We start from the raw sequence: 23849 nt of genomic DNA on the forward strand, positions 1-23849 counted from the left end.
GCATTGAGGGCTGAGTCCCCACAATGTGGCAGTAATTATGCTATGACTCCCTAGGTTGTCAGCACTGGAGACTTATTTCATCCCCAAGGATGGCAGCCTCGCTTCTTACAAGGAATACATCAGCTTATTGCCTGGCATGGACCCCCCTGAGGCCTTTGGCCAGCACCCCAATGCTGATGTGGCCTCTCAGATCACTGAGGCACAAACCCTCTTTGATACTTTGCTTTCCTTGCAACCTCAGATTACACCCACCAGGGCTGGAGGCCAGACCCGGGAAGAGAAGGTAAAAAGAGCCGGGCCTGGGGGAGGGAAAGTGATGAGAAGAGGGGGCTACACTCAAGAGCTCCTGCCTGCTCAGGTCCTTGAGTTGGCCGCTGATGTGAAGCAGAAGATCCCTGAAATGATCGACTATGAGGGGACTCAAAAACTGCTAGCTCTCGACCCCTCCCCCCTCAATGTGGTCCTTCTGCAGGAGATCCAGAGATACAACACACTGATGCAGACCATCCTGTAAGACAGAGGGGGACTCTGCGGAACAGGGGAGGGTGTGAGGAGAAGCCTTTGCCTTCTGGCTAGAATGACGTTCCCAGGCCCACCTCATCTCTAACACTCCACCTCATCCTGCTCAGGTTCTCACTGACAGACCTAGAGAAAGGCATCCAGGGTCTCATCGTCATGTCTACAAGCCTGGAAGAGATTTTCAATTGCATCTTTGATGCCCATGTTCCTCCGCTCTGGGGAAAGGCAAGATTATACCATTGTTGATCCTTCTCCAACAATGAGCTCCCCTCTCAATCCTGGGCCCCCCAATCTCCTGGTTCTAGGTGGGCATAAAGCAAACTGCAGAGAGCCGAAACTTTGAAGTTAGATAGGTTCAAGGTTAAAACCTGGCTCTGCCATTCATTGACTGACTTCATACAACTTATTAACTTACAGACTCACTCAGGGAAAATTACTAACCTCTCCAAGGATGTTTCAGAGATTCCCAGTATTGTGCCTACCACTCAGTAGGTGCTTCATCAATGCTACCTGGTTAATATTACTGCGGTCATTGTTATGAATGAATAGCTGTCGTTGTATGCCTCTTTCCTAGAAGTTGGCTTTGGAGAGCTTTGTTCACCTGTAGTTGGGGAACAGGGGCTGCCACCACATAGTCTTCTCATATCTGCTTCAGGTGCTCAAAATAAGGATTTGGGCTGGACGCGGTGGCTCATGCCTGCAATCTCAGCACTTTGGGAGGCTGAGGCGGGCAGATCACCTGAGTTTAGGAGTTTGAGACCAGCCTGGTCAACATGGTGAAACCCCGTCTCTACTAAAAAAATACAAAAATTAGCCGGGCGTGATGGTGGGCGCCTGTAATCCCAGCTACTTGGGAGGCTGAGGCAGGAGAATAGCTTAACTTGGGAGGTGGAGGTTGCAGTGAGCCAAGATCGTACCACTGCACTCCAGCCTGGGGGACAAGAGCAAAACTCTGTCTCTAAATAAATAAATAATACGGATTTGAATGCACGGCTAAATGAGTGAATACACACGCACTCCTTCCCCAGGCATACCCCTCACAAAAGCCATTGGCTGCCTGGACCCGGGACTTGGCCATGCGTGTGGAGCAGTTTGAGCTGTGGGCCAGCCGGGCCCGGCCTCCTGTGATCTTCTGGTTGTCTGGTTTCACCTTTCCCACTGGCTTCCTCACTGCTGTGCTGCAGTCTTCAGCTCGCCAAAACAACGTGAGCAATGTGCAAAGTGTGAGGGGGGGATGTATGCTGGGGCCATGTATGTGTTCTCCTCTTCAGGGTCCTCTCTTATTCTCACCTTCAACCCCCAGGTTTCAGTGGACAGCCTCTCCTGGGAGTTTATCGTTTCCACTGTGGATGACAGCAACCTAGTGTATCCCCCCAAGGTGGGAGCCAGTTGTGCTTGGGGCTCTGAGCAAAAGAGGGTACTGGAAATAATTGGACGAAAAGGGAGGAGAGAGGGAGCAGGTCAGGGGCGCTGGCAATTGAAGTCTAGCTTCTCCCAGACCTGCTCCCATTTCTCCCCAGGATGGTGTCTGGGTCCGGGGCCTGTACCTGGAAGGTGCTGGCTGGGACCGGAAGAACTCCTGCTTGGTGGAGGCAGAGCCCATGCAGCTTGTCTGCCTCATGCCCACGATCCACTTCCGGCCTGCAGAGAGCCGCAAGAAGAGCGCCAAGGGTGGGACAGCTCCCCAGGCAGGACCTGCCTGCCCCGTCCCTAGTTTGGAACTTAACCCATTCTCTGCTCCAGCCCATCCCACACCCGCTCCTGCCCTGCTCCTGCCCTGCTCTCCCGGAGGCTCCAGGGGTCTGACTTCTCCTCTCCTTTCCCCCAGGCATGTACTCCTGCCCCTGCTATTACTATCCCAACCGGGCAGGCAGCTCAGACCGAGCCTCCTTTGTCATCGGCATTGACCTGCGGTCTGGGGCCATGACACCTGATCATTGGATCAAGAGGGGCACTGCTCTACTCATGAGCCTGGACAGCTGAGACCTCCTCCTCTTCTCCGCTTGAGAGAGAGGGTCAGGGACTCCAGGAGCTAAGACAGATGTTGCACCTAGGACTGAGGCCGGACCTCACTCAGACTTTGACCTTGGCCGAATTTGTGTGATGTGGCCCTGGAGATACCTAGTTGTGTTAGCCATAAAAGTGAAAGAGTTGTATTGGAGCTCAGTGCTGTAAAACACCCGCGACAACAAGCCTTAAGTCTCTCAATGCAATGGTGAGGGTCTGGGGAGGGAGGAAGCCCAGGCCTCACGGAGGACAGAGCTACTGCGGAGCTGCTACTGGACGGGGAAAGAAGCGAGGGAGGTGGGGCGGCCTGGAGCGGAACGGAGGCGTGGCCCTGAACGAATGGGCAGGGCGGAGCCGCCTGAAGAGGCTGTGGCTTAAGTCTCCGGGCAGGACTTCAGTGGGTGGGGCGGGGCTTACCTTAGAAGGGCGCGTGATCCAAATGAGTAGGGATTTGTCAGGCAGGGATCAGGGCTGAACCCCGTACACTGCACCCTGAGGCCCGCACCCTGAAGCCCGCACCCCGCACCCGGCATCCTAGCCGGCACCCGCCCTGAGGCGAGCGGGACCGGCAGAAGACGGGGCGGAGCCGGAGAGGGGGACTAGAGCGCGAGGAGGGGCGGGACCACAAGGGGGCGGGGCTGGGGAGCGGGGGTGCGGGTGTTTGTGTTGGAAAATCCAACTGCGCCACTGGGCGGAGCGGCCCCCCCAGCCCCGGCCTGGGAGAAGGGGGGGCCGCTCGACCCCCTGGGATACCTTGGGGAGCCTGAACACCTGGGACCCCCCCCAGAACCAGGTAACGGGGAGCCGCGAGGACGTCTGTAAAGAGGGAAACCCTCTCCTTGCAGCAGGGCAGGACGCCTGAGTCTCTGGAGGGGTAGAGCTGGGGATGGACGTTTGGGTCTTGGGAAGGGCACTGGGAAGAAGACTGGGGCGGAGGTCATGGGTCCCCTAGAAGAGAGAACGGCGGGGAAGGAGGAAGAACTGGGAGGCAGATGTCTCAGGTTCCAAATGTCCAGAGGGGCCTGAAAGGACTCCCCGTTCCCCTTGGGCTGGGATTCCCCTTCCCGACTCCAGGGCGGGGCGGGGCGGGGCGCGGCGGTCCTTACTGAAGGGCAGGACTAAAGGGCAGAGTTTGCAGACAGGTCAATGCCATGGCCCAGTAAGGTCAGATGTGGTCAGACTTGGGTGTGTCCCGGTCCCAGGACTACTTTAAGTCTCCCTCCAGTTCTCTGCACGGGTGAGGTGTAGAAGCCTCAGCCTGACCTTCCCACCAGCGGCCCCGAGAGCTTCCCAGCGGTAGCCTTCGCCTTCTTCCCACCACCCCCCTGCGCCTCCCTTTCACTCCGTCTCGCCCCGCTAGCCTCCTCATCCCTAGTCCTTCTCCCACTCCGCCGTTCCCGAACCCTAGCGCGCCCCGCACGGCTTCTCGGTGCGGAGCCTTCCCAACGTAGCCACAAGATGGCGAGGGCGAGACGCACCCAGGGCAGGTGGGGGATGTGACCGTGAAAGTAGCTGAAGCCCCCCGCCCCGGTCCGAGGGAAAGGTAGGCTGAGGCCCCCACTTGACTTCCTGTGATCTGGGCCCCCTCACAGGAAATTGTGGGCAGGAGGTCGCAGCGCAGAAGACGGGGAGGGGGCTGGGGACTCAATCTCCGCCTCTCCCGGCTGGGGTAAATAGTGGGGAGGGGGGCACGCGGGGTGGTTGCTAAGCGACGTAGATTCGCTTCCTGTTTGCTGCAGCTTATGTTGTGACACTGGTGGGGGTTAGAGACAGCGGAGGGCCTGAAGACTGTGGGGAAGGCCGAGGGCAGGACGCCTGGTTCCCGGGACAGGAAGAGCCCTGGGAGGAAGGCGGGGAGGTAGCGAGCTGCGCCGCGACCGAAGGGGACTCGGTGGTTGTCCGGAGGGGGTTAGGGACCGAGGCGCAGCGTTGACCTCGGCTCCCCTTCCCTCCCCTGGGTTGCTTGTCCTGTTGCCAGAGTAACTGGAGGGCGAGACTTGGGAGCCGGATTCCCGAACTCTCCCGTCCGCCCAATCCGCTCCAGCGGTCGGCCCTGACGTCAGGGCCCTGGCAGCCAATGGGGAAGGGGGATGATAGCGACAGGAAAGGGAGAGGGGAGGGGCAGCGGCGGAGGCTGGGAGGCAGCAGCTGCCTGGGACCCGCACGTGCACTCCCACACGCTCGCGCCCACCCCCCGCCCTGCGCCGCACGCGCCCGAGCACCCCCTTGCGCCTGCGCGGCGAGCCGGGCGCCCCCCTCCCCTCGTGGAGTCTGTGTAAAGCCGCCTGAGGCTGCGCTCTTCAGCCCCTGGGGACCCACACGTCTCGGTCGGTCTGCACCGTTTCGCCGGTCGCGACCATAATGCCCAGCCTGGCTCGGGAGGGCCGACTACCTGTTCCCCACCTCCCCCCAGCTGGCGCCCCACACTCCCAGGTGGGCTGGGCGGAGCTGTGGTTTCCGGCCCCATCTGCTCGGCCGCTGCCTTCCCGGGCTCTGGCTTAAGTTGCTTTCCCAAGAGAAAGCGAGCGGGTACCAGCGCCCCTTCCCAAGGCTTCTCCCGCCCGGGCCCAGCTGCTGTTGGTGGCGGAGGAGGGCACTGCGGGGAAGCCCCGGACGGCCCAGGTGATTCTTCTGGGCCATCACGCCCCTTCTTCGCGTGAATTCCTGCTCTTTGATGTGCACCAAAACCCTTCCCATTCCTAACGTTTCCTCCTCGTTCGCCCCGGCGTTCTTTGCACCTCCCTCGGCTCCTTTCGGGCTGTCTGTCCCTGTCTCCACTCGTCCTTCTTCGCTTCTCCCGGTTATATAACTCTTCCTCTCGCCGTGTCCTGGTTTCAACTCCACAGACTCCGCCCTGGAACAGCGCGGGGAGGGGCGGGAGAGTTGGGGACCCAGACAGATTCCGGCTGGCGGCCGGCTGGGGCACGGGGGATCCTGCAGATGGAAGACGGAGCCCCGCGGGACCCGGTGCCCCCGTCCCCGCCTGCCGGCCCCCACCGAGATCTCGCCCAGGAGAGAGAAGGCACAGTATCTCCGAGGGGCGTGTCGGGCCGACTCCCGTCAGAAATGTGGGTTGGGAGGTCAGGGCTGCAGGCGGAGAGGAGGAGACAGGCAAGAGGCCTGAGTCCCTGGGATTGGAGTCGTATTAGGGGTAAAAGAGATAAGGACGCCTGGGTTTCTTCTTATGTCTCCTTTTTGGGTTCCCAGAATTCCTAAGGGTGTTTCCAGTGTTTCCAGGAAGCTTAGCCAGCACACCCACTCCGCCCCGTAGGGGTCAAAGGTCTGTGTTAGAGGTGGCCTGGGATGATGTCACTAGTGCACGTGCCCCGGGATGGTTGCCAGGCAATGAGGCTTCCTCCCCCTTCTATTCCCTCCCACCTCTGCCCCGAGTCCAGTTCCAGTCCCGTGCCATCTCTTTCCCCTCTCCCTTCCCGTGGTCTTAGCATCCTGCAGGTGGGAAACCCCGGCCTGGAGTTTTGTGAGGGGGAGGGGCACGGGTGTGGTGTGGCTGAAAGACTTTGCCCCTTTGCTGGGCTGAGGGAGCCTTGGGTCACTTTTCCCTAGATTGGCACAGAAGAGCTTCCCCTCCAAGGCTCCGCCCCCATAGAAAAAGCTACCTAGCCGTCATTTTACTTTCCCACCTGCTGCATGGCCAAGTGTCCTATTGCCCCCTTCCCCAGATTGATTTGAAGTGGGAGTGGTTGAAAGACGGAAGAGTTGTGTGTAGTATGGGGGGGGGTTCACTACACACCAGCTTATCCCTGAAATCCCCATAATGGCACACCCCCATCTGCAAACAATGAAAGGAAAAGGGTCAAGAAACAGTATTAGGCTGAAAAGTCAGGGTCTTTATTGTGTGTATGCGGGTGAATCGGTTTGTAGCCTCTCACTTGGTGGAGGGGGACTCAGTTGATTGCTATGGTTGTTCTTCTCTATTAAGTCCCAGGGTTGGTGATGGTATTGGAATGAATCGGTTTGTGCTTTTATGTACCTTAGAGCTTGGGCTGTCAGATCAGACCTGGATTCTAATTCTAGCTCTGTCACTTAGTGGCTACTAGGACTTGGAGAGGTCAGAACCTCTCTGAGCCTCGTATGTTAATCTTGAACATTTAAATATCAACACCTACCTTGAAGGCCGCTGGGAGGAAAAAAATGAGATAATTTATGCAAATCACTTAGCACAGTGCCTGGCACAGAATGAACACAGAATGAGTGCTTGTTGTTATGAAATACTTTTATTATTAAATGGTGTTAGTTACTAGTTTATTATTATTGCTGTGGGTCTGCTCCAAACCAGCGGTAACCGTAGGAGTTTGTTAAGGGGTAGTGGATAGTTTGTGTTAATTTGGAGATTGGGGTTAGGGGGCTGGGGATTAGCTTCAACTGCTTTGTGCATTTTATTTGATGAAGGCTTTAGGCAGATTTGTATTGCTTTCTTTAGGATTATTTTTTTTTCTCTTGGACAAGAAATAGCTAAGACTATTCCGTGGGCCTTGAAAATAAAATAATTGTATTATGGTTCTTGATTTTGAAGCAAGACCCCAGCCCCCTCCCGTGTTGATCTCTGGAGCCTTTCGTTTTGCAGAGGGACTCCACAGTTTCTCTAGTGGGGACAGGGCTAGGCTGAGGGGTGTGTAAAAGGTTGGGGTGGGTGGGTGGAGAGAGACTAGTGCTGGGGGCTGGGGGGGCGGGTAGTTAAAGGAAGAGACCGGAAGGGAGGAGGAGGGAGCCTGCTGGTGGGGAGGGAGGGAGGGGAGGAGGAGGTGGAGGAGGAGGAGGAGGAGGAGGGAGGGGGTTGGGGAGAGCCTGCTACAGTTCTTTGTTTGACTCCGGGACTCAGGGACGGGGAGGAGGAGGGAGGGAATAGAAGGGGGAGGAAGCCCCCCCCCCCACACACACACAAACACACACACCCCAGCTGTTGGACAGATGAATTACAGCCTCCGGCTTGGGGCCAGGGCTGGTGAGGGATTAAAGCTCTGGGGCTGGCCCTTTAAATGGCTGTTAGCCCCTCCCCCACTCTGTTGTCCAGACACCCCTCACACACCCTCTGACCCCCTAGGCTTCCCCCTCACTCCTCCTCTTGGTCTGTCCTAAAGTCTGCCCACTCTGCTCTCGACTAGCCCTTTCCTAGTCCCTCCCCCCAGCACAACCGCAGAACACAGATGCCACAGACTATAGATACACACTCTCTGCTCCCAGGTTATGAGCCTCCCTGTCCTGGAGAGTTCTAGCCTGAAGCTCCCTTCCCGAGCAGAAGGGCCTTGCCTGCCTGACCTCTACCACCTACAGCTGACCACTACCCTGGCTTAGGAAGGAGGCCTTGGTGGGTCACAAATAGCACCTCCCTGGGGGCAGTGTCATCAGCAGCCACAGAAGCTTGCGGAACATTGCATCATGGAGACTGGGGGCTAGAGGCCTGAGTCTCTGAGGCAAGGGGAAGGATGGGGGCCGGAAGGCTAGGGAATATAGAGATTAGATTGGGACCCCAAGTGTTTGGGTCCATAAGGGCAGAGAACTATGATTAAGGGAGCAGAAAACATAGGTCCCTGAGGAGCGAGTCTGAGGTGAGGGCCAACTTAGCTCTGACCCCTGATGGACACCTGATTCTTGGCCTTGGACTTATGCTAAAAGACCTAGCTTCTTGTCTATGAGGGTTGGGAAGGGAGTGGGCCTGTATCACCTTCTTAGGCCACATAAGAGGAAGGAGGTGATGGGGAAACAGGATATTGCCTTGGGGTTGGCAGGGAGGGGAGGCTTGCAGTGGAGGCTACTTCCAGGCTTAGGCCCAGAGTCAGAGTTCTTGCAGGGGAGGATGGCCCCTCCCTGTTGGGCCCGTTCATCTAGTCTGGCTACCTGTGCTGCTAGCCAAGACCTGCCTGCACCCGCCTGGGGGAAGAAGAGGGGGCAGAGTCCAGAGGGTGGGGTTGACTGTCTGGTGTCTTGATAAGGTTGGAGAGGACACAGAGCTGAAGGAAGAGGGTCTGCATGCCCTGGTGCTAGGACTCAGGCTGGCTTGTGTACAGATGTCAGGGCAGCTGGGGCGACTCAGGCCAGGGAGTCTCAGCAGGAGCGTCCTGTCAGAAGAGGGATCACGGGTTTGGGGTCTACTGTAGACTTACTCAGATGCCATATCATGGCCCCTTACCAACTGATCGAGCCTGCTTCCCAAAGGGGAAGGTTGGATGACCACTTTGGGGATGGCTTTTTCTGGTTGCCATGGAAACAAGATTCTCCCATCATATCTGACCACCAGAGCCAGGTTTCTCCTTAATGAGGGGGGCAGGGAGCCCAGGAAAATTCTCCATCCTGGAAGACCCCCACCTCTAACTGACTTTTTTCTTTTAGGTTCCCCCCAGGGCAACATGCCAGCCCCGTAGCACTGCCCACCCCACCCACTGTGGTCTGTTGTACCCCACTGCTGGGGTGGTGGTTCCAATGAGACAGGGCACACCAAACTCCATCTGGTAAGTCCTGTCTGAGTGACCCTCTCTCCTCAGCAGTCTAACTCTGCACCACATGGTTGGAGATGCTCGGTATGATCTGGATCATGCCCACTCTTCAGAATGGTCCAGTCCAATTCTAAGCACCCCACCATGTGGTGCTTGAGTGGTTCAGCCCTCCTGGTTTATGGACCTCCCTTCTATCTCCTATAAATGGTTCAGCCCTGTACTTCACCAGCCTCTCCACTACTACCAAAAAATCTTTTCCCCACTATCTCCCTAGTGCTACAACTCAGTTGCTTATTGAAATGAAGAGGGAGTTTGCAAGCTGAAAAGTGGATATGAGCTACCCTGGAGGAATTTTTTCTTGGTAGGGAAACAGCTTTGTCCCTATAGGAGTTGTTGAACACCCTGGCTTTTGGAGGGTGTTCAGAATTTATTTGGGGAGATAGTGGAGATCACTGCCAGCCACAGCAGTCTTGGCATTTCACCTTTCCTTCCAGATCTCTTTCAGTCCCATTCTCTCCCCACTGCACTATAGCATTTGCCCCCATACCTAAGTCTTACTCTTCTGCTTCCCTCTCTCCTTCTGTCAGTTCTCTGCCTGAGGCCCTGCTTTATTTCCCATTCCTTTGTAGGAGAAAAGGGAAGATAATCCCTAAGCCAGGGGCTTAAGTTCTCTCTGTGTTGTTCTTCCTCATTACATATGGGGTTTCTCGAGTGGGACTGTTTTCTTCTATGTGTCTCTCACTATTTTGCTTGATGTTTTGCACATTGGGGTGCATGGTGGATTTGTGTTGAATAATGTTAACTGAATGAGCTTCATTATGAAGAACCTATGACTTCTGAGATTTGCTGCACAGCCTCCTACTTTATCCTCTAGAGGACGTGAGACATTGGGGATGGTAACATGGGTAGAGCTGAAAGGAAGGTTGACCCAGGAGATGGCCTGTGAGGATAAAACCAAGGGAGGGAGAGTAGGACAGAGGCAGTACATAAGAGTGGTAAGAATGTGGCTCTGGAAAGAAGCCTAGCTCTTTCATTCTTCACTTGCAGAATGACTTTGGCCAAGTCACCTAGCCTCTCTGGGCCTCAATTTCCTCATCTGTAAAATGGGGGTAATCAGAGTACCTCCTATGTCAGGTTTTGGGGAGGAGTAAAAGAAATGCTTGTAAAATACTTAATACAGTGCCTGGCATGTAACAAATATTCACAAAATGCTAGCAGTTATCACCACAGTGGGAGCCACAGGGAGCTCTGAGGATAAGCAGGGATGTCGAGGGATGGGACAGAACTTGATTGAAGGCAGACAGACCTCCAAATTCTTGACTCAGACAGAATGATCACTGATCCAGCGAGACGTCAGGATCGAGAGGAGTGTAGCAAGGAGTCAGGAGGGTGGGCCTGCGCCAGTGTCGCCCCGACTCTGTTCAGTAACATGAAGGCAAACACAGAAGGGCATGTGCGGAGACACACGTGATCACGCTAGTGATGCAGAGGCAGACCCAGACAAAAGACCGAGACAGGAGCTAGGCAGACACACAGACAGAGACAGCCCCGCGGAGTCATGTAGACAGGGATAATGACAGGAACGCGTCAGACACAGGCACAGAGGGAGACAAGATGAGCAGATATGCAGGTGCACGCGGAGACAGACACCGGGACCCACGCACAGCCGACCGTGTCAGACAGACTGGTGAACACAGCGCCCAGTCAGAGGCAGACACAAGGCCTGCAGTGACACATAGCGGGCCGGGGCCGGCACCGTCACTCCTCGGTGGGGGGCGGGGAGGGGCCGGCAGCCGGGGGAAGGCTGGGGAAGGGAATCCCGGGCGGGCGGCCTGCCCGGGTGGCTGAGTCACAGCGGAGCCTCAGCCGGCGGCCCTCCCCTCCGCCTCCCCCTCCCCCAGGTAAGAAGCGAGCGTGTAACCCCTCGCTTCCACCAGGCGTGATGAGGACGGGCAGGGAGCGGGTTGCGACGAGGGTCCTGGACCGCCCCACCTCGGCGCGCGCGCAGCATGCCCGCTGATTGCCGGCTAGGTAAAACCCTATCTGCGGGCTCTTGTCTCTGGCCGTCACGTGAGTTTGCGTGCGCACTTCAGGCCTCTTACCACGCGTCCCGCGCGGCTGCGGCGCTGCGCGGAGGGGCTCCTCGGCTCAAGCCCAGAGAGAGTTAAGTGGGTGTGATTGATGGAGTGTTCTCTCTTGGGGCTCCAGCGGGGGCGGGGGGTAGGGGGTCGGTTAAAGTCCCGAGTCCAGGGCCCGGATGGAGGGGGCGGAGCTGGGCTTCGCCGGGAGTGCCCGGATGGAGAGGGTGTGGCCTCGGCGGGAGCGGAATTAACCCTTTCAGAGCCGCTGGCTCCCGAGGTTGTGGGTCGGGTCGGGAGAGGCTGGAATGTCTGCCTCAGAAGTATATCGATCTCCCAGCCTGGCTCTGGCCGCGTGCGTCTACCTCTCGCCTGTCTTCGAGGAGTCTGTGGGTGTCAGTCTTTGTGCCTGTCCGTGGTTCCCTTCCCTTGGTTAGTATAGACACCGGGAGTCAGGGAGGGCTATTCTTGCCCCAGAGCGAGAGTGGAGGTGAGAGTGGAGCGCGAGCTGGCGGCGACTGGGGAACAGGTGCAAGCGCCGCGTCGGGGCTGCCCGGCACGGGGAGGGGCCATCGTGGGGGAAGACGAGAGGGGAAATTCCGCGGGACCGGTGGTGAGCCGGTGTGTGGGCTGAGGAGTTGTGTCTGCCTCTGACTGTGTGTCTGTGTGTGTTCAGGGAGGCGGGGGCTGAGTCAGTGGGAAGAGGGGAAGGTTTTCTGGGTGACTCACGCTCCCCCACCCCAAGCCTGAATCAGACCCCGAGGGAGGGCTTTGTACGGGGGGCGGGGGGGCGAGTGAGGAGTCCAGCGCCTGGGTCCCGGGTGCGGACAAGGATCCGAGGTGGCTGGCGAGAATGAGTGTGTGTTTAGTGTACAGGAAGTTTTGTCTTCAAGTGAGGGCTTTGTATTCTTGGGTGCTGGCGTGGGGCTTTGTGGATAAAGGTGGAAGAGCAGGGAGCTGGAGGGACGGCACTCACTGACTTAGGGAAAGCTGAGTCAGTTCCCCGTGGGAAAGGGGAAGTGGCAGAGGGGAAGTGTCATCATCGCCGAAGGGGAAGCTGCCTTTCCTGGTAACTGGCGGCGCTCTCGGGACCACTTCCCAAGCAGGCATCTGCCCCTCTGTTGTCTGGTTCCCCGGCTCCCCCTCCACGTCTGGTTCTTGGGTCTCCTCCCCGCCCCTGCCTCGGTACTCGGGTGGGGGCAGTCACGGAGGGCCATACTTGACCACAGTTCAGCGCCGTACCTGGCTTGGTTACTGATGGAAAGGATGCTGCCTCTAGTGAGGAGAGAGTTCTGACAGTAATACCACGTGAACCGCGGAGAGGGTCCGCGGGGCCCAAGCGACCACAAGGGCTTGGCGGAGAGTGGCACGCAGGGACCTGTAGGGTCCAAGCGCTTCCATGCAAACAAACGACCTTGCCCCTTCGGGAAGGAAGGCTCTTTTCACCAGAAACCCGTCTGCCCTTGTGGGCTGGGTGGAAATTTCCCCACAGCGCAGACTTCTCTCAACGAACGCGAACTTTCCAGCCACCCCCAGCCCCTCGTCGCGCACTCTCCCCCGGCTTCCTGCCCGGCGCTCGCTCCAGCTGGAGCGCTGGCCCCGCCCCCGCGGCTTTGTACTCGACACTCGCCTCTCGCTGCTCTTTGTACTCTAGACTCTCAATGGACCGATCCCGGGAGCCGAGTCGGCTCCCTACCTGCGGGGACGCCGGGTAGGCAAGGAGGAGGCGCGGGGACGCAGCTCCTGGGCTCAGAGAGGCGAGAAGGAAGAGCTGGGGCTAAAGGGAAGGTGCCCAAGAGAGGGGAGCGCTGTGCCAGTCGGGGGTCCAGTCGGCACCAAAGCGAAAGGGTGGGGGGGGCGTGAAGGAGGAAGTGAAACGAGTTCTGGGTTCTTTAAGGGAGTGGGTGGTGAGAGTGGGACAAGGGTGATGTCACTGCCTGTCGGGCCCCGCCCTCCTCCCTCCCTCAGGACCCCCCCCCCCGCAGTACATTTACACACACCGCTTCCGCTGCGCAAGTAGCCACGTCACGGGCAACCCCCGAAATCCCCCCTCCCTTGGGGGGCGGGGGCCACGTGGGCCGTGGGGAACCGCGTGGCCCCGGCGGGGAAGGGCAGAGAGGATACGCGAGCCACGAGAGAGGGGCCACTCGGGACCGCGGTGCGCGACTTCTCGGAAGTTGGGGGACTAAAAGGGGTCTGATTTTGGGGGTCGGTCGGTATTGAAGACCCAGAAAGCCAGGGGAAGTAGAGGACCTGGAGGAACTGGGTATGAGACTGGGGGCTTGACCAAGGTTTGGGTCGGGGTCAGGCGTTGGGGGTGGAGCGCCGATAGCGGCGCGGACGGGTTTGGGTGCCGTGGAAGTCGCTGTGGCTGGCCAGCCCTAAGCAGTTAATAGGGGCGCTCGGGGTAGGGAGGTCTGTCACTGGGCGAGGTGAAGTGAGGAAGGGGAGGGACGTCTTTTTTGCGTTCTGCATCCGTCTGTCGTCCGTCGGTCTTACGGTGGCCGGGCGTGGGGCTACTCGAGCAGCCTGGCCGTGGCCACCGGCGGCTCTGGGTGCTTGAGGCTTGCGGGTAGCGCCGGCCCCCACGCCGGCCGGAGCATGCGACTAACCGGCCTCATCCGCATGCGTCTTGTCCTGGCTGCCTTCTGGCCCTGACGGCCGGAGTGTCGGATCCTAGATGGGGACCCTAGGTGGGAGCCGCGGGGTCACATCGGGGTCACCCCGGGCTGAGCTCGTCTGACCGGCTCCCGCGCCCCTCCTCCCCCGGCCACCGCTGCCGGGCTCACCTCGCTCCCATTGGTTCCGGCCAGGCTGTTACTGAGGCGGAGACACGGGTGATGATTGGCTTTCTGGGGAGAGAGGAAGTCCTGTGATTGGCCAGATCTCTGGAGCTTGCCGACGCGGTGTGAGGACGCTCCCACGGAGGCCGGGTAAGCGGCCGCTGCGTTTTGGGTCGGCCCAGTGGCTCCGGACTGGAAGCCTGGCAGCGCAGCCACCCCGTCCCTCTGACCGGCCTTTTGGTTCCCTGCCACACACGTCCTGACTCCCAGCCACACTCCTGGGCCTCTAGGGAGTGGTTGGGCCGGGCCTCCCTTTGGGGAAAGCTAAGGCCGGGCCCTTTGCACAAATGACAAATTGGTGGATGCCACAGTCCGCCCATCCCAGCCCCTGGGCCTTGACTGTGTGCTGGCCAGCTCGTCTCACTCCTTTTCCTTCTCTCTAGAATTGGCTGTGAAAGGACTGAGGCAGCCATCTGGGGGTAGCGGGCACTCTTATCAGAGCGGCTGGAGCCGGACCATCGTCCCAGAGAGCTGGGGCAGGGGGCCGTGCCCAATCTCCAGGGCTCCTGGGGCCACTGCTGACCTGGTAAGGGAAACTCTGGGGCCGAGCTGGCTGGATGTACACTGGCAGCTCTGGTTTTGCCTCCAGTAAGAGCATAATTTCTTATCCCCAACTCAGGCTGGATGCATCGGGCAGTGGACCCTCCAGGGGCCCGCGCTGCACGGGAAGCCTTTGCCCTTGGGGGCCTGAGCTGTGCTGGGGCCTGGAGCTCCTGCCCGCCTCATCCCCCTCCTCGTAGCGCATGGCTGCCTGGAGGCAGGTGAGAAGTTGGGGCCCTCTGTCTCCAGGCACACCTCTTTCCATCTCTGTATCCCTCAATCTGTGTCATTCTCCATGGGTTCCTGTCATTCTGTGGGCTTCCGTGCATCAGCCCCCTCCTGCCTAGGTAGGACAAGACTGCTCCTTTTTGCCGTATATAACAGACTCCTTCTCTCTCCAGATGCTCAGCCAGCATTGGGCAGCCCCCGCTTCCTGCTCCCCTACCCCCTTCACATGGCAGTAGTTCTGGGCACCCCAGCAAACCATATTATGCTCCAGGGTGAGTGGATATTTGAAGGTTCTGGGAGTGGGAGGTAAGGCTGGGGCCTTGAAAGAGTCCCCTCAAGCCCAACCCCCACCCACACCCCCACCCCTTCTGCTCTGTAGGGCGCCCACTCCAAGACCCCTCCATGGGAAGCTGGAATCCCTGCATGGCTGTGTGCAGGCATTGCTCCGGGAGCCAGCCCAGCCAGGGCTTTGGGAACAGCTTGGGCAACTGTACGAGTCAGAGCACGATAGTGAGGAGGCCACACGCTGCTACCACAGCGCCCTTCGATACGGAGGAAGCTTCGCTGAGCTGGGGCCCCGCATTGGCCGACTGCAGCAGGTAGGAGAAGGCAGGGCGTGGGGGACGGGATTGTACGATTGTGCCTTCTGGCTCAGTGCCCCACCTGACATCTGCCCCTGCCCCGTGTCCCCCCACCCCCAGGCCCAGCTCTGGAACTTTCATACTGGCTCCTGCCAGCACCGAGCCAAGGTCCTGCCCCCACTGGAGCAAGTGTGGAACTTGCTACACCTTGAGGTGAGGCTGGCACTGGGTGGGTTAGGGAGGAGAGCCAGGCTGTGCCTGCACCCGTGCCATTTTCTCTTCTCTCTTTTTGTTCTCAGCACAAACGGAACTATGGAGCCAAGCGGGGAGGTCCCCCGGTGAAGCGAGCTGCTGAACCCCCAGTGGTGCAGCCTGTGCCTCCTGCAGCACTCTCAGGCCCCTCAGGGGAGGAGGGCCTCAGCCCTGGAGGCAAGCGAAGGAGAGGCTGCAACTCTGAACAGGTGTGGGTATAGGGGGGCCAGCAGGCAGTAAGTAGGCAGGACTTGGGAATGGGATTCTCACACTCTCTTCTCTCCTAGACTGGCCTTCCCCCAGGGCTGCCACTGCCTCCACCACCATTACCACCACCACCACCACCACCACCACCACCACCACCACCCCTGCCTGGCCTGGCTACCAGCCCCCCATTTCAGCTAACCAAGCCAGGGCTGTGGAGTACCCTGCATGGAGATGCCTGGGGCCCAGAGCGCAAGGGTTCAGCACCCCCAGAGCGCCAGGTGAGCCCCTGCCTGTTGCCTTTCACCTCTCACCTACAAGTCCCACGCTCTCTATTCCTCATCCTGCATCCCTGTTTATCTCCTATAGGAGCAGCGGCACTCGCTGCCTCACCCATATCCATACCCAGCTCCAGCGTACACCGCGCACCCCCCTGGCCACCGGCTGGTCCCGGCTGCTCCCCCAGGCCCAGGCCCCCGCCCCCCAGGAGCAGAGAGCCATGGCTGCCTGCCTGCCACCCGTCCCCCCGGAAGTGACCTTAGAGAGAGCAGAGTTCAGAGGTCGCGGATGGACTCCAGCGTTTCACCAGCAGCAACCACCGCCTGCGTGCCTTACGCCCCTTCCCGGCCCCCTGGCCTCCCCGGCACCACCACCAGCAGCAGCAGTAGCAGCAGCAGCAACACTGGTCTCCGGGGCGTGGAGCCGAACCCAGGCATTGTGAGTGACAACTGAGGGTGGAGGGGGGGATGGGTGGAGCTTGTCTTGAGGCAGCCCGAGCAATGCTCCTACCACCTGCTTCTACACTTGCAGCCCGGCGCTGACCATTACCAAACTCCCGCGCTGGAGGTCTCTCACCATGGCCGCCTGGGGCCCTCGGCACACAGCAGTCGGAAACCGTTCTTGGGGGCTCCCGCTGCCACTCCCCACCTATCCCTGCCACCTGGACCTTCCTCACCCCCTCCACCCCCCTGTCCCCGCCTCTTACGCCCCCCACCACCCCCTGCCTGGTTGAAGGGTCCGGCCTGCCGGGCAGCCCGAGAGGATGGAGAGATCTTAGAAGAGCTCTTCTTTGGGACTGAGGGACCCCCCCGCCCTGCCCCACCACCCCTCCCCCATCGCGAGGGCTTCTTGGGGCCTCCGGCCTCCCGCTTTTCTGTGGGCACTCAGGATTCTCACACCCCTCCCACTCCCCCAACCCCAACCACCAGCAGTAGCAACAGCAACAGTGGCAGCCACAGCAGCAGCCCTGCTGGGCCTGTGTCCTTTCCCCCACCACCCTATCTGGCCAGAAGTATAGACCCCCTTCCCCGGCCTCCCAGCCCAGCACAGAACCCCCAGGACCCACCTCTTGTACCCCTGACTCTTGCCCTGCCTCCAGCCCCTCCTTCCTCCTGCCACCAAAATACCTCAGGAAGCTTCAGGCGCCCGGAGAGCCCCCGGCCCAGGGTCTCCTTCCCAAAGACCCCCGAGGTGGGGCCGGGGCCACCCCCAGGCCCCCTGAGTAAAGCCCCCCAGCCTGTGCCGCCCGGGGTTGGGGAGCTGCCTGCCCGAGGCCCTCGACTCTTTGATTTTCCCCCCACTCCGCTGGAGGACCAGTTTGAGGAGCCAGCCGAATTCAAGATCCTACCTGATGGGCTGGCCAACATCATGAAGATGCTGGACGAATCCATTCGCAAGGAAGAGGAACAGCAACAACACGAAGCAGGCGTGGCCCCCCAACCCCCGCTGAAGGAGCCCTTTGCATCTCTGCAGTCTCCTTTCCCCACCGACACAGCCCCCACCACTACTGCTCCTGCTGTCGCCGTCACCACCACCACCACCACCACCACCACCACCACGGCCACCCAGGAAGAGGAGAAGAAGCCACCACCAGCCCTACCACCACCACCGCCTCTAGCCAAGTTCCCTCCACCCTCTCAGCCACAGCCACCACCACCCCCACCCCCCAGCCCGGCCAGCCTGCTCAAATCCTTGGCCTCCGTGCTGGAGGGACAAAAGTACTGTTATCGGGGGACTGGAGCAGCTGTTTCCACCCGGCCTGGGCCCTTGCCCACCACTCAGTATTCCCCTGGCCCCCCATCAGGTGCTACCGCCCTGCCGCCCACCTCAGCGGCCCCTAGCGCCCAGGGCTCCCCACAGCCCTCTGCTTCCTCGTCATCTCAGTTCTCTACCTCAGGCGGGCCCTGGGCCCGGGAGCGCAGGGCGGGCGAAGAGCCAGTCCCGGGCCCCATGACCCCCACCCAACCGCCCCCACCCCTATCTCTGCCCCCTGCTCGCTCTGAGTCTGAGGTGCTAGAAGAGATCAGCCGGGCTTGCGAGACCCTTGTGGAGCGGGTGGGCCGGAGTGCCACTGACCCAGCCGACCCAGTGGACACAGCAGAGCCAGCGGACAGTGGGACTGAGCGACTGCTGCCCCCCGCACAGGCCAAGGAGGAGGCTGGCGGGGTGGCGGCAGTGTCAGGCAGCTGTAAGCGGCGACAGAAGGAGCATCAGAAGGAGCATCGGCGGCACAGGCGGGCCTGTAAGGACAGTGTGGGTCGTCGGCCCCGTGAGGGCAGGGCAAAGGCCAAGGCCAAGGTCCCCAAAGAAAAGAGCCGCCGGGTGCTGGGGAACCTGGACCTGCAGAGCGAGGAGATCCAGGGTCGTGAGAAGTCCCGGCCCGATCTTGGCGGGGCCTCCAAGGCCAAGCCACCCACAGCTCCAGCCCCTCCATCAGCTCCTGCACCTTCTGCCCAGCCCACACCCCCGTCAGCCTCTGTCCCTGGAAAGAAGGCTCGGGAGGAAGCCCCAGGGCCACCGGGTGTCAGCCGGGCCGACATGCTGAAGCTGCGCTCACTTAGTGAGGGGCCCCCCAAGGAGCTGAAGATCCGGCTCATCAAGGTAGAGAGTGGTGACAAGGAGACCTTTATCGCCTCTGAGGTGGAAGAGCGGCGGCTGCGCATGGCAGACCTCACCATCAGCCACTGTGCTGCTGACGTCGTGCGCGCCAGCAGGTGAGTCGGCTGCCTGCTTGCTTGTCCCGGAGACAGGCTCCCTTCCCCCATCACCCTGATGTTTCTGTCTTCATTCCACTGTCCTCCCGCAGGAATGCCAAGGTGAAAGGGAAGTTTCGAGAGTCCTACCTTTCCCCTGCCCAGTCTGTGAAACCGAAGATCAACACTGAGGAGAAGCTGCCCCGGGAAAAACTCAACCCCCCTACACCCAGCATCTATGTATGTGTGCCACTTGGCCTCAGAACCACCCCTGCCAGAGGGTTCTAAGACAGTGTTGGGGACTGCTGGGGTGCTCTGAGCCTGGGCCAGGGCTCTGACCCCAGCTCTCCTGGTCATGTCTCAGCTGGAGAGCAAACGGGATGCCTTCTCACCTGTCCTGCTGCAGTTCTGTACAGACCCTCGAAATCCCATCACAGTGATCCGGGGCCTGGCGGGCTCCCTGCGGCTCAGTGAGTATGGGGGGCAGAAAGTGTTAGGGAGGGCTACAAGGGTCTGGGGCATGTAGGACCCTCTGAGAAATCCCACACTTGAAGACTCATGACAGTGGCCGTGAGGAGTCCACTGAGTGATGGGTCTGCTGGCCTTGGGCTCTTCTCCCATCTGTCTGTCTCCAGCATTTGGCAAGGGAGAAGGGGCCATAGTCAGGGCCTGATTAGTCATTTCTGAATTTTTTGGTGATTAAGGAAGAGAATAATACAGATTTTAGAAAACCCCTGAAAATCTGTGATGTTGGGGCTCTCTCTCAGTCTTTTATTGCGCAGAATTTCAAACACATACAAAATTAGAGAAAGCTGTATAGAAATACAAAGGTCAATCTTGTCTCCTTTATACCTGTATGTTCTCCCTTCCCCACACTGAGTTATTTGAAGCACATTTCAGGCTTTCACTTGACTGAATCTTTAATCTTTAATTGGATCCAATGGTAACTCAAAGAAGCTGCTGTTTTGACTAGACTCCAAATGGGGAAAAAAGAAGCTGCCATTCATTGAGCACCTACTATGTGTCTGTCAGGTGCGGTGCACATGGCCACGCACACATCTGGGAACACTGGTCTAGGGGCTGAGTCCTTGAGCAGCTGCAGGAGAAAGAGGGCTGGTGAGGATGCAGATAGAGGCCAGCACTCCCAGCTTCCTGTGGGGCTAGGGCTCCTGCCTATTTCTTCTGGGCTGAGCTCTGCTAAACCTATGACCACCCTGTCAGAGCCAGAGGAGTAGGAAGGGAAAGGGTCGATTGGGTCCTCGGTCCCTATCCTCTGCCTCTGCCCCGACACCCTGCTCGGCCCTCCCTTCCAGACTTGGGCCTCTTCTCCACCAAGACCCTGGTGGAAGCGAGTGGCGAACACACCGTGGAAGTTCGCACCCAGGTGCAGCAGCCCTCAGATGAGAACTGGGATCTGACAGGCACTCGGCAGATCTGGCCTTGTGAGAGCTCCCGTTCCCACACCACCATTGCCAAGTACGCACAGTACCAGGCCTCATCCTTCCAGGAGTCTCTGCAGGTGAGATGAGAACGTGGCCAGAGGCAGGTCCTGGGACGGGGCTGCGGTGGGAGGGCTCTCGAAAGGTCTCTGACCCAGGCCTGCCTACCCTCTGGCTGAACAGGAGGAGAAGGAGAGTGAGGATGAGGAGTCAGAGGAGCCAGACAGCACCACTGGAACCCCTCCTAGGTACTGTGCAGGTGTGCCCCTTCTGTTCCTGCTTCCTTCCCCTCCCTCTGCTCTCCACCAACCTGTGCTCTTCGCCCCAGCAGCAGCGCACCAGACCCGAAGAACCATCACATCATCAAGTTTGGCACCAACATCGACTTGTCTGATGCTAAGCGGTCAGTGGGGCTGAGGCCAGGGAAGTTGGGGCAGGAGTGCTGCTAGGACCTCGTGGCGGGGGCGGGGTGTAGCCTCTCGTCGCACTTCCGCACCGCAGGTGGAAGCCCCAGCTGCAGGAGCTGCTGAAGCTGCCCGCCTTCATGCGGGTAACATCCACGGGCAACATGCTGAGCCACGTGGGCCACACCATCCTGGGCATGAACACGGTGCAGCTGTACATGAAGGTGCCCGGCAGCCGAACGCCAGGTGCGCTCCACGCCTGTGCGCGCTGATGCTGGAAGCGCGAGAGGAGGGGCTGGCGGCGGCGCTCAGCCGTCAGCCAATGAGGGCAGAGGGCGGGGCTATCGGGGATCGCAGTTCCGACCTGGCCAGCCATGCCGTTCTCTGTCGACCCCTGCAGGCCACCAGGAGAATAACAACTTCTGCTCCGTCAACATCAACATTGGCCCAGGCGACTGCGAGTGGTTCGCGGTGCACGAGCACTACTGGGAGACCATCAGCGCTTTCTGTGATCGGTGCGTGCCGTCCTGCGCAAGTCAGACTGCCGCGTCCCCGCCCTCGGTCCCCAGTTCCCACCTGACCTGTGGCCACCCCGCAGGCACGGCGTGGACTACTTGACGGGTTCCTGGTGGCCAATCCTGGATGATCTCTATGCATCCAATATTCCTGTGTACCGCTTCGTGCAGCGACCCGGAGACCTCGTGTGGATTAATGCGGGGACTGTGCACTGGGTGCAGGCCACCGGCTGGTGCAACAACATTGCCTGGAACGTGGGGCCCCTCACCGGTGAGAGGGTGGGGCAGGTGTTGGCGTGGTGTGGCGCCTCAGCGGCAAGGGCCTGGGAGGCTGGGGCTTGGAGAGCCGCCAGCAGTGAGGGAAGGGGCTTGGGCCTAGGTGTCTGGGGGCTGTTTGAGAGTCCTGTTGTGATCGCCTTTGGCCCGCAGCCTATCAGTACCAGCTGGCCCTGGAACGATACGAGTGGAATGAGGTGAAGAACGTCAAATCCATCGTGCCCATGATTCACGTGTCATGGAACGTGGCTCGCACGGTCAAAATCAGCGACCCCGACTTGTTCAAGATGATCAAGTGAGGACCCTATTTGGGTGGGAGCCCACCTCCACTGACTGGTCCCTTTTCTTGTTCTTCCTGTCTGACTCCACCCCATTTTTACCTCTCTCCATCCTTGTCTGCCTGTGCCCCGAGTGTTACTGTGTTGGGGAGGCTAACTAGGTCCTTGCTGTCATGACCTTTTCTAGTGGTCCAAATAGACAAAAGCCACAGGAAACTTCGCCTATAACAGATGCCCAGGACAGAGGATGTGACCTAGACATGAAGCGGGGAGGCCCCTAGGGGAGGGCCCTGGGGCTGCCCACCCCTCTGCCCTTGCTCCAGCCCTGCCTCAGGCCTCCTCCTTGCCGGTGGTCTCAACACAACCCCACTGCTCCCCAGGTTCTGCCTGCTGCAGTCCATGAAGCACTGCCAGGTGCAACGCGAGAGCCTGGTGCGGGCAGGGAAGAAAATCGCTTACCAGGGCCGTGTCAAGGACGAGCCAGCCTACTACTGCAACGAGTGCGATGTGAGTGGGCCGGCTCTGCTGCTCTCCCTGAGTGTCCACAGTGGCCCTCCCTCCCCCTGACTGCACTGTCCTCCCTGCCCCAGGTGGAGGTGTTTAACATCCTGTTCGTGACAAGTGAGAATGGCAGCCGCAACACGTACCTGGTACACTGCGAGGGCTGTGCCCGGCGCCGCAGCGCAGGCCTGCAGGGCGTGGTGGTGCTGGAGCAGTACCGCACTGAGGAGCTGGCTCAGGCCTACGACGCCTTCACGCTGGTGAGGGCCCGGCGGGCGCGCGGGCAGCGGAGGAGGGCACTGGGGCAGGCTGCAGGGACGGGCTTCGGGAGCCCGGCCGCGCCTTTCCCTGAGCCCCCGCCGGCTTTCTCCCCCCAGGCCCCAGCCAGCACGTCGCGATGAGGCCGGACGCCCCGCCCGCCTGCCTGCCCGCGCAAGGCGCCGCGGGGCCACCAGCACATGCCTGGGCTGGACCTAGGTCCCGCCTGTGGCCGAGAAGGGGGTCGGGCCCAGCCCTTCCACCCCATTGGCAGCTCCCCTCACTTAATTTATTAAGAAAAACTTTTTTTTTTTTTTTAGCAAATATGAGGAAAAAAGGAAAAAAAATGGGAGACGGGGGAGGGGGCTGGCAGCCCCTCGCCCACCAGCGCCTCCCCTCACCGACTTTGGCCTTTTTAGCAACAGACACAAGGACCAGGCTCCGGCGGCGGCGGGGGTCACATACGGGTTCCCTCACCCTGCCAGCCGCCCGCCCGCCCGGCGCAGATGCACGCGGCTCGTGTATGTACATAGACGTTACGGCAGCCGAGGTTTTTAATGAGATTCTTTCTATGGGCTTTACCCCTCCCCCGGAACCTCCTTTTTTACTTCCAATGCTAGCTGTGACCCCTGTACATGTCTCTTTATTCACTTGGTTATGATTTGTATTTTTTGTTCTTTTCTTGTTTTTTTGTTTTTAATTTATAACAGTCCCACTCACCTCTATTTATTCATTTTTGGGAAAACCCGACCTCCCACACCCCCAAGCCATCCTGCCCGCCCCTCCAGGGACCGCCCGTCGCCGGGCTCTCCCCGCGCCCCAGTGTGTGTCCGGGCCCGGCCCGACCGTCTCCACCCGTCCGCCCGCGGCTCCAGCCGGGTTCTCATGGTGCTCAAACCCGCTCCCCTCCCCTACGTCCTGCACTTTCTCGGACCAGTCCCCCCACTCCCGACCCGACCCCAGCCCCACCTGAGGGTGAGCAACTCCTGTACTGTAGGGGAAGAAGTGGGAACTGAAATGGTATTTTGTAAAAAAAATAAATAAAATAAAAAAATTAAAGGTTTTAAAGAAAGAACTATGAGGAAAAGGAACCCCGTCCTTCCCAGCCCCGGCCAACTTTAAAAAACACAGACCTTCACCCCCACCCCCTTTTCTTTTTAAGTGTGAAACAACCCAGGGCCAGGGCCTCACTGGGGCAGGGACACCCCGGGGTGAGTTTCTCTGGGGCTTTATTTTCGTTTTGTTGGTTGTTTTTTCTCCACGCTGGGGCTGCGGAGGGGTGGGGGGTTTACAGTCCCGCACCCTCGCACTGCACTGTCTCTCTGCCCCAGGGGCAGAGGGGTCTTCCCAACCCTACCCCTATTTTCGGTGATTTTTGTGTGAGAATATTAATATTAAAAATAAACGGAGAAAAAAAATCCTGTTTCGCTAACGGCTGGTGGTAGCAGGTTGAGTACCGGGAGGGCTGCAAGACCGTGATTGATGGGGAGGACTGCGCAGAC

The 23849-nt window shown here is 59.5% G+C and overlaps 3 protein-coding genes and 1 long non-coding RNA gene across 12 annotated transcripts in view, besides 20 other annotated features; 2 read left to right on the plus strand and 2 right to left on the minus strand.

Moving 5' to 3' along the window:
- Positions 1-2711, plus strand: part of DNAH2 (dynein axonemal heavy chain 2) — a 115999-nt gene extending 113288 nt beyond the window's left edge. For all 8 annotated transcript variants that reach the window (NM_020877.5, XM_047435424.1, XM_011523667.3 and 5 more), the window contains 7 exons: positions 55-283; positions 359-510; positions 630-744; positions 1548-1724; positions 1823-1897; positions 2040-2190; positions 2348-2711. In NM_020877.5, the coding sequence (NP_065928.2) occupies positions 55-283; positions 359-510; positions 630-744; positions 1548-1724; positions 1823-1897; positions 2040-2190; positions 2348-2502 (1054 nt within the window). In that variant the 3' untranslated portion in view covers positions 2503-2711. The remainder of the gene's footprint in view (positions 1-54; positions 284-358; positions 511-629; positions 745-1547; positions 1725-1822; positions 1898-2039; positions 2191-2347) is intronic.
- Positions 2278-2889: an enhancer, noted in NCBI's record as "H3K4me1 hESC enhancer chr17:7736627-7737238 (GRCh37/hg19 assembly coordinates)". NCBI's record gives its function as "activates a minimal SCP1, AML or CMV promoter by ChIP-STARR-seq in naive H9 embryonic stem cells {active_cell/tissue: H9 hESC(naive)}" and the evidence as "EXISTENCE:reporter gene assay evidence [ECO:0000049][PMID:30033119]".
- Positions 3158-3317: a silencer, noted in NCBI's record as "silent region_8139". NCBI's record gives its function as "represses an Ori minimal core promoter by ATAC-STARR-seq in GM12878 lymphoblastoid cells {active_cell/tissue: GM12878}" and the evidence as "EXISTENCE:reporter gene assay evidence [ECO:0000049][PMID:35858748]".
- KDM6B (lysine demethylase 6B) lies at positions 3186-23765 on the plus strand. 2 transcript variants are annotated; one of them, NM_001348716.2, is made up of 24 exons: positions 3186-3319; positions 8875-8993; positions 13870-13989; positions 14283-14425; positions 14519-14660; positions 14841-14939; positions 15047-15266; positions 15369-15461; positions 15548-15709; positions 15788-15985; positions 16074-16421; positions 16515-18697; positions 18790-18916; positions 19041-19146; positions 19990-20195; positions 20299-20363; positions 20447-20518; positions 20617-20765; positions 20920-21034; positions 21118-21305; positions 21464-21605; positions 21969-22095; positions 22179-22349; positions 22467-23765. In NM_001348716.2, the coding sequence occupies exons 5-24, from the start codon at positions 14524-14526 to the stop codon at positions 22488-22490; spliced, it is 4932 nt and encodes a 1643-aa protein (NP_001335645.1). In that variant the 5' UTR covers positions 3186-3319; positions 8875-8993; positions 13870-13989; positions 14283-14425; positions 14519-14523; the 3' UTR covers positions 22491-23765. The 2 variants fall into 2 exon arrangements, with proteins under 2 accessions (NP_001335645.1, NP_001073893.1); NM_001080424.2 differs by lacking the exon at positions 3186-3319 and having other exon boundaries at positions 8886-8993; positions 22179-23765.
- Positions 3520-4019: an enhancer, noted in NCBI's record as "H3K4me1 hESC enhancer chr17:7737869-7738368 (GRCh37/hg19 assembly coordinates)". NCBI's record gives its function as "activates a minimal SCP1, AML or CMV promoter by ChIP-STARR-seq in naive H9 embryonic stem cells {active_cell/tissue: H9 hESC(naive)}" and the evidence as "EXISTENCE:reporter gene assay evidence [ECO:0000049][PMID:30033119]".
- Positions 4377-14497, minus strand: LOC124904106 (translation initiation factor IF-2). The gene is made up of 4 exons (XM_047437265.1): positions 14423-14497; positions 13846-13908; positions 12608-12833; positions 4377-5613 (listed from the first exon to the last, which is right to left on the minus strand). Exons 1-4 carry the CDS (start codon positions 14495-14497, stop codon positions 4586-4588), a joined length of 1392 nt encoding a protein of 463 aa, XP_047293221.1. The 3' UTR covers positions 4377-4585.
- Positions 4568-4987: a silencer, noted in NCBI's record as "silent region_8140". NCBI's record gives its function as "represses an Ori minimal core promoter by ATAC-STARR-seq in GM12878 lymphoblastoid cells {active_cell/tissue: GM12878}" and the evidence as "EXISTENCE:reporter gene assay evidence [ECO:0000049][PMID:35858748]".
- Positions 5008-5067: a silencer, noted in NCBI's record as "silent region_8141". NCBI's record gives its function as "represses an Ori minimal core promoter by ATAC-STARR-seq in GM12878 lymphoblastoid cells {active_cell/tissue: GM12878}" and the evidence as "EXISTENCE:reporter gene assay evidence [ECO:0000049][PMID:35858748]".
- Positions 5688-5737: an enhancer, noted in NCBI's record as "active region_11645". NCBI's record gives its function as "activates an Ori minimal core promoter by ATAC-STARR-seq in GM12878 lymphoblastoid cells {active_cell/tissue: GM12878}" and the evidence as "EXISTENCE:reporter gene assay evidence [ECO:0000049][PMID:35858748]".
- Positions 6608-6757: a silencer, noted in NCBI's record as "silent region_8142". NCBI's record gives its function as "represses an Ori minimal core promoter by ATAC-STARR-seq in GM12878 lymphoblastoid cells {active_cell/tissue: GM12878}" and the evidence as "EXISTENCE:reporter gene assay evidence [ECO:0000049][PMID:35858748]".
- Positions 8408-8908: an enhancer, noted in NCBI's record as "H3K4me1 hESC enhancer chr17:7742757-7743257 (GRCh37/hg19 assembly coordinates)". NCBI's record gives its function as "activates a minimal SCP1, AML or CMV promoter by ChIP-STARR-seq in primed H9 embryonic stem cells {active_cell/tissue: H9 hESC(primed)}" and the evidence as "EXISTENCE:reporter gene assay evidence [ECO:0000049][PMID:30033119]".
- Positions 10662-10821: a silencer, noted in NCBI's record as "silent region_8143". NCBI's record gives its function as "represses an Ori minimal core promoter by ATAC-STARR-seq in GM12878 lymphoblastoid cells {active_cell/tissue: GM12878}" and the evidence as "EXISTENCE:reporter gene assay evidence [ECO:0000049][PMID:35858748]".
- Positions 11352-11661: an enhancer, noted in NCBI's record as "active region_11646". NCBI's record gives its function as "activates an Ori minimal core promoter by ATAC-STARR-seq in GM12878 lymphoblastoid cells {active_cell/tissue: GM12878}" and the evidence as "EXISTENCE:reporter gene assay evidence [ECO:0000049][PMID:35858748]".
- Positions 12972-13161: a silencer, noted in NCBI's record as "silent region_8144". NCBI's record gives its function as "represses an Ori minimal core promoter by ATAC-STARR-seq in GM12878 lymphoblastoid cells {active_cell/tissue: GM12878}" and the evidence as "EXISTENCE:reporter gene assay evidence [ECO:0000049][PMID:35858748]".
- Positions 13702-13921: a silencer, noted in NCBI's record as "silent region_8145". NCBI's record gives its function as "represses an Ori minimal core promoter by ATAC-STARR-seq in GM12878 lymphoblastoid cells {active_cell/tissue: GM12878}" and the evidence as "EXISTENCE:reporter gene assay evidence [ECO:0000049][PMID:35858748]".
- Positions 14072-14191: an enhancer, noted in NCBI's record as "active region_11647". NCBI's record gives its function as "activates an Ori minimal core promoter by ATAC-STARR-seq in GM12878 lymphoblastoid cells {active_cell/tissue: GM12878}" and the evidence as "EXISTENCE:reporter gene assay evidence [ECO:0000049][PMID:35858748]".
- Positions 19427-20765, minus strand: LOC107987244 (uncharacterized). Its single transcript, XR_001752777.2, has 2 exons — positions 20426-20765; positions 19427-20290 (listed from the first exon to the last, which is right to left on the minus strand). It is a non-coding gene; the product is annotated as an uncharacterized LOC107987244 (long non-coding RNA).
- Positions 19828-20792: an enhancer, noted in NCBI's record as "H3K4me1 hESC enhancer chr17:7754177-7755141 (GRCh37/hg19 assembly coordinates)". NCBI's record gives its function as "activates a minimal SCP1, AML or CMV promoter by ChIP-STARR-seq in naive H9 embryonic stem cells {active_cell/tissue: H9 hESC(naive)}" and the evidence as "EXISTENCE:reporter gene assay evidence [ECO:0000049][PMID:30033119]".
- Positions 19828-21756: a biological region, named in NCBI's record as "H3K4me1 hESC enhancers GRCh37_chr17:7754177-7755141 and GRCh37_chr17:7755142-7756105".
- Positions 20514-20623: an enhancer, noted in NCBI's record as "active region_11648". NCBI's record gives its function as "activates an Ori minimal core promoter by ATAC-STARR-seq in GM12878 lymphoblastoid cells {active_cell/tissue: GM12878}" and the evidence as "EXISTENCE:reporter gene assay evidence [ECO:0000049][PMID:35858748]".
- Positions 20680-20974: an enhancer, noted in NCBI's record as "tiled region #3930; HepG2 Activating DNase matched - State 25:Art". NCBI's record gives its function as "activates a minimal TATA promoter and a strong SV40 promoter by Sharpr-MPRA in HepG2 cells {active_cell/tissue: HepG2}" and the evidence as "EXISTENCE:reporter gene assay evidence [ECO:0000049][PMID:27701403]".
- Positions 20793-21756: an enhancer, noted in NCBI's record as "H3K4me1 hESC enhancer chr17:7755142-7756105 (GRCh37/hg19 assembly coordinates)". NCBI's record gives its function as "activates a minimal SCP1, AML or CMV promoter by ChIP-STARR-seq in naive H9 embryonic stem cells {active_cell/tissue: H9 hESC(naive)}" and the evidence as "EXISTENCE:reporter gene assay evidence [ECO:0000049][PMID:30033119]".
- Positions 20954-21183: an enhancer, noted in NCBI's record as "active region_11649". NCBI's record gives its function as "activates an Ori minimal core promoter by ATAC-STARR-seq in GM12878 lymphoblastoid cells {active_cell/tissue: GM12878}" and the evidence as "EXISTENCE:reporter gene assay evidence [ECO:0000049][PMID:35858748]".
- Positions 21757-22721: an enhancer, noted in NCBI's record as "H3K27ac-H3K4me1 hESC enhancer chr17:7756106-7757070 (GRCh37/hg19 assembly coordinates)". NCBI's record gives its function as "activates a minimal SCP1, AML or CMV promoter by ChIP-STARR-seq in primed H9 embryonic stem cells {active_cell/tissue: H9 hESC(primed)}" and the evidence as "EXISTENCE:reporter gene assay evidence [ECO:0000049][PMID:30033119]".

This window comes from Homo sapiens, chromosome 17 (genome assembly GCF_000001405.40).
Source record: "Homo sapiens chromosome 17, GRCh38.p14 Primary Assembly".
In the NCBI taxonomy this organism is placed as follows: Eukaryota; Metazoa; Chordata; class Mammalia; order Primates; family Hominidae; genus Homo; species Homo sapiens.

Excerpts from the sequence above, each read along its gene's own strand:
- LOC124904106 (XM_047437265.1), bottom strand. The coding sequence starts at position 14,497 with ATGCTCTTACTGGAGGCAAAACCAGAGCTGCCAGTGTACATCCAGCCA. Across the intron at positions 13,909-14,422 it reads CCCAGAGTTTCCCTTACCAG|AAAGCCAATCATCACCCGTG; the intron begins GTCAGCAGTGGC and ends CTCTCTCCCCAG. Across the intron at positions 12,834-13,845 it reads CCGGAACCAATGGGAGCGAG|CCCCAGCTCTTCCTTCTCGC; the intron begins GTGAGCCCGGCA and ends CCTTCCCTTTAG.
- KDM6B (NM_001080424.2), top strand. The coding sequence starts at position 14,524 with ATGCATCGGGCAGTGGACCCTCCAGGGGCCCGCGCTGCACGGGAAGCC. Across the intron at positions 14,661-14,840 it reads GCATGGCTGCCTGGAGGCAG|ATGCTCAGCCAGCATTGGGC; the intron begins GTGAGAAGTTGG and ends TTCTCTCTCCAG. Across the intron at positions 21,306-21,463 it reads GAACGTGGGGCCCCTCACCG|CCTATCAGTACCAGCTGGCC; the intron begins GTGAGAGGGTGG and ends TTTGGCCCGCAG.